The following is a 4,771-nucleotide window of genomic DNA, read 5'->3' as shown; positions in this document are numbered from 1 at the left end:
AAACAGCTAGCAGAGATTTCAAATGTTCCCAAAGCATAGAAATGATAAATACCAGCTGGGCATGGTGGCTCACTCCTGTAATCCCAGCACTTTGGGAGGCTGAGGTGGGTGGATCACCTGAGGTCAGGAGTTTGAGACCAGCCTGGCCAACACGGTGAAACCGTCTCTAGTAAAAATACAAAAATTAGCCGGGTGTGGTGGCACATGCCTGTAATCCTAGCTACTCAGGAGGCCAAGGCACGAGAATTACTTGAACCCAGGAGGTGGAGGTTGCAGTGAGCCGAGATCACTCCACTGCACTTCAGCCTGGGTGACAGAGCAAGACTCCATCTCAAAAAAAAAAAAAAAAAAAAAAAGATAAATACCCGAGGTAATGGATATCCCAAATACCTGACTTGATCATGACATTCTATGCATGTAGCAAAATATTGAATGCACCTTATACATATATACATATTCAAATATTCGTATACAAATATTATGAATCAATTAAAAAAATTTTTTTTGATACAGGGTCTCACTCTATCACCCAGGCTGGAGGGCAGTGGTGCTGTCTCAGCTCACTGCAACCTCGACCTCCTGGGTTCAAGCGATCTTCCTACCTCAGCACCCCCAAGTAGCTGGGACTACAGGTATACGCCACCATGCCTGGCTAATTTTTGTATTTTTTTAGAGACAGGATTTTATCATGTTTCCCAGGCTGGTCTTGAACTTCTGAGCTCAAGTGATTCATCTGCCTCCGCCTTCCAAAGTGCTAGGATTACAGACATGAACCACTGCACCTTGCCAAAAAATTTTTTTTTATGTAGACTGGATACTGCATGTATCCCTCTTGATAGTGCATACCACAGAGCAGCCTGGTCCAGTGGACAGACAGACAAGCAGACAGGCAGACAGATGGGCAGTACTCACCACTTACTTGTGAGGTGCCCTTTGCAAGTTCTCCAATTCTCAGATTTCTCATCTGAAAAATGAGAATAACTATATTTACTATGTGATAGGATTACAGATAAACACTTTGTAAAGTGCCTGGTCTGGCACAGGGTAGACCTCAATAAATAGCCATTTTTATTAACATGATTATCTCAAGTTTTTTGAAAGTGCTATAAAGTCAGTATTCTGATTCTCTCTCTTTTTTTTTTGTACTCTCTTCCAGTTCCTAGATCTGCTCTAGCTAGATAAATCAATCCTGCCTCTTGGTAAATGTTATTTTAGACTAAGTATATTTAAAGTTTGTTCCCTTAATGAATTGCATGATTTAAAAAACCGACAGCTCTTTGATCTAATTTGCTGGCAGATTATGCAAGAAATAAATATTGTATTGAAGTCCAAAAGCTAGTCAGTTCTTGCCTCTCTCCCTCTTCCTCCTCCTCTCTTTCTCCCTCTGTGTGTATAGCAGGAAGGGAGAGTGGTGGTAGGGCACACATGTTTGCTGTACTTGTTTCTGACTCAGACCCAGATGGCATGGATCTTAAAGACCTCCGTGGACTTGTTGCTCTCGGCCCATTTTTTTTTCCCTACTTGCGGCTACAGTCTTGTCTTCTTTTCTATCAAATCTTGACTTTCTCTATCCTTTGCTTCTCCAGGGTGTCTGCCCCTATCTGAGATTTCCAGTAGACTTTGTGGGTCAGATGGCTGAGAGAGCAAAACTGTATTCAGCTGGACAACATTTAGGGCAGAAGGGAGTGGCCAGGGCTTCCTCCAGCCTGGGGCAGGGAGAGGGGGCAGGTGGGGAAGGACCTGCCCCATGAGGGCTGCTGTGGAACCTGGCTGGTTTGGCAGCCTTCCTTTTCTCCCTTCTCCAAAAGATGCTACTGACAGCCAACCAGAAAGCTTTCTGTATTCATTTTGTATCCTGAGAGCAAACACACAGCTTTGGCAAGAAAACGTTAGACCTATAATAATAATACAGTTCTCTGACATTAGAGTGCAAAAACATTTTCCATGACAGCTTAAAATTAATCACCACCTCTTGCTGCTATAGATTCCTCTCCTTTATGCAGTGCCAGCTCTGGGCCAACTGTTAAGGCAGCACATGGCTCCCAGGGAAAGAGCAGTGAAGTCTGCAGAGACAATCAGCAAAGCTGATTTTCTCCATACCCCCTTTTGTCCTGGTGAGGATGTGCTTTCTGCTAACAGAGTGTAAGACGGGGCTGGTAACTGATCATGGAGAACAAGCCACAATCGACACTTACGGATGGGATTATAAATGCATCTGGTGCTCTTAGTGACACTGATAAGCCACAAGGGACTCCCGCTGAGCAACTGAGTGTTCCCTAAATTGTTCCTTATGGTCTTTGAACTTACATCAAGGGAAACGAAAGGAGCCTGCACATCTATCACTTTCTTTATCCTGCTGATAGAAATTAATAATCAAACACACAAAGGCTACCCAGACAAGCCCAAAGTTGAATTATTCAACAAATATTTTTTGCTAATTTCATTTTTTACATTTATATTTTATTTTTCAAAATTAGTTCCTGTTCATGGTAAAAAGTTCAAATTGTACACAGGATATACAGTGAGTGTGGAAATCCTTCCTCCCACTCCTGATTTCTTAGTCTCAGTCTATAGAAGTAACCACTAGAAACAGTTCCCCATATATCCTTCAAGAAATTGTTCTTGCACATAGAGGCACGTGTGTGTGTGTGTGTGTGTGTGTATTTGCACTATGCAGCTGGCTTTTTTCATTTAGCAATATGTTATTAGGCACCTCTTCATACCAGTATCTGGAGATCTACTGCACATTTTTTTTTTTTAACATTACATAGTATTCCTTGGTATGTCTTTATTTGTTTTTTAAACTGGACCTTAATTATGGACATTTAAAGTGTTTTTTGTTGGCCAGGTGCAGTGGCTCACACCTGTAATCCCAGCACTTTGGGAGGCCAAGGCGGGTGGATCACGAGGTCAGGAGATCGAGACCATCCTGGCTAACACGGTGAAACCCCATCTCTACTAAAAATACAAAAAATTAGCCGGGTGTGGTGGCGGGAGCCTGTAGTAGCAGCTACTCAGGAGGCTGAGGCAGGAGAATGGCGTGAACCTGGGAGGCGGAGCTTGCAGTGAGCCAAGATCGCGCCACTGCACTCCAGCCTGAGCGGCAGAGGGAGACTCAGTCTCAAAAAAAAAAAAAAGTATTTTTTGTTGATTTGTTGGTTGGTTTGGTTTGCTATTATGTACAATGTCACAATGCACATTTTTTGGGACCCTTATCTCTTTGCATACTTGTACAAGTTTATCTGTAAGATAAATTCCTAGAAGTGGAATATTTAGGGCAAAGGGTAGGTGCAATGTAATTCGTGAAAGATATTGTGAAATTGCTCTTCAAGTAGACAATAAGCATATCCTGAATGCTTCCTCCATGCCAAGACCTGTTCTGGTGTTAGGGATAAAGGGTCATAGTCCTTTTCCTTGTAAAGCTCACAGAAGAGACACACAGCCCATAAATTATTATAATATGATGTGGTAAGCACTATAATACAAATTTTATAGCACTTATCACCTTTCTATATTAGCTACTAGTTTTATCCCCTCGATTTTTTTTTTTAGTTTTAAAATTTCAAATCGTTATTATTTTTCGGATTGTGATTTTTTTTCAGGTTAAAAAACAAAAACGAAAAACAGAGGTGGGCTTTGCAGGGAGAGCATAACAAATCCAATCCATAACTGAGAGCCTTCTATGTCCAGACACTCTTGTATATATCATGTCACTTATTCTGTATCAGGTTACCATTATTTTGATTTATTGATGAGGAAATTGAGGTTAGGAGTGGGTAAGAAATTTGCTCTAAGTTGTACCATTAATAAGTGATATAGTTCAGTTGAAAAGCTGTGTCTCTTTGGTGGCAGGCTCAGGCCCTTTCCCCCAAGCAACCCAGCCATGCCACATGAGTTCAGCCTTCACAGTAACCATCATGAGCTGATAAGCAGAGGCACAACGGCTGAGAGCAGCAGAACTGCACCCAGGATGCAGAAAAACAGTGCCAGTAAGACCTGCTGCTTGCCCCGGGAAAACTTGCTGATTAATAGGTGAGAGAGATCGCCATCTAAATATGTGTGAGGCTCACACCTGTAATCCCAGCACTTTGGGAGGCTGAGGTGGGCAGATCACTTGAGGTCAGGGATTTGAGGCCAGCCTGGCTAGCATGGTGAAACCTTGTCTCTACCAAAAATACAAAAATTAGCCGGGTGTGATGGCACGCACCTGTAGTCCCAGCTACTTGGGAGGTTGAGGTGGGAGAATCACTTGAATCTGGGAGGCGGAGATTGCAGTGAGCTGAGATAGTGCCACTGCACACTGGCCTGGGCAGCAGAGCCAGACTCCATCACAAAATAAAAATAATAAAAAATAAAATAAAAATAATAAAAAATAATAAAAAATACATACATACATACATACATACATGTGAACTATAAAATAATCCCCTAAACTTACATCATTCCAGACCAACGTTGTGGAGAGGATGGTTCCCTGGATTAAGAAGATTGGCTGGTTTAAGGCCGGGTGACTTGGCTCACGCTTATAATCCTATCACACTGGGAGGCTGAGGCAGGAGGATTGCTTGAGGCTAGGAATTCAAGACCAAGCTGGTCAACATGCAAGACCCCCTCTCTAAAAAGAAAAAAAAAAAAGAAGAAGAATGTCTGGTTTAAAGGATGAGAGGATTGCATGGGAGGGGTGTGTGTGGTGCCAGGCTGTCAGAGGTCTGGGCAGGCTACTCAGTCGTGCTGTGCATGGGGATTACGAGGAAGATGAGGCAGCGGAGTT

At 42.7% G+C, this 4,771-nt stretch overlaps 1 annotated feature.

Moving 5' to 3' along the window:
- Positions 1,907-2,523: an enhancer, noted in NCBI's record as "OCT4-NANOG hESC enhancer chr8:26087585-26088201 (GRCh37/hg19 assembly coordinates)". NCBI's record gives its function as "activates a minimal SCP1, AML or CMV promoter by ChIP-STARR-seq in naive H9 embryonic stem cells {active_cell/tissue: H9 hESC(naive)}" and the evidence as "EXISTENCE:reporter gene assay evidence [ECO:0000049][PMID:30033119]".

Source organism: Homo sapiens, chromosome 8 (genome assembly GCF_000001405.40).
Source record: "Homo sapiens chromosome 8, GRCh38.p14 Primary Assembly".
Taxonomy (NCBI): domain Eukaryota; kingdom Metazoa; phylum Chordata; class Mammalia; order Primates; family Hominidae; genus Homo; species Homo sapiens.
This window is presented reverse-complemented; position numbering and strand designations above follow the sequence as displayed.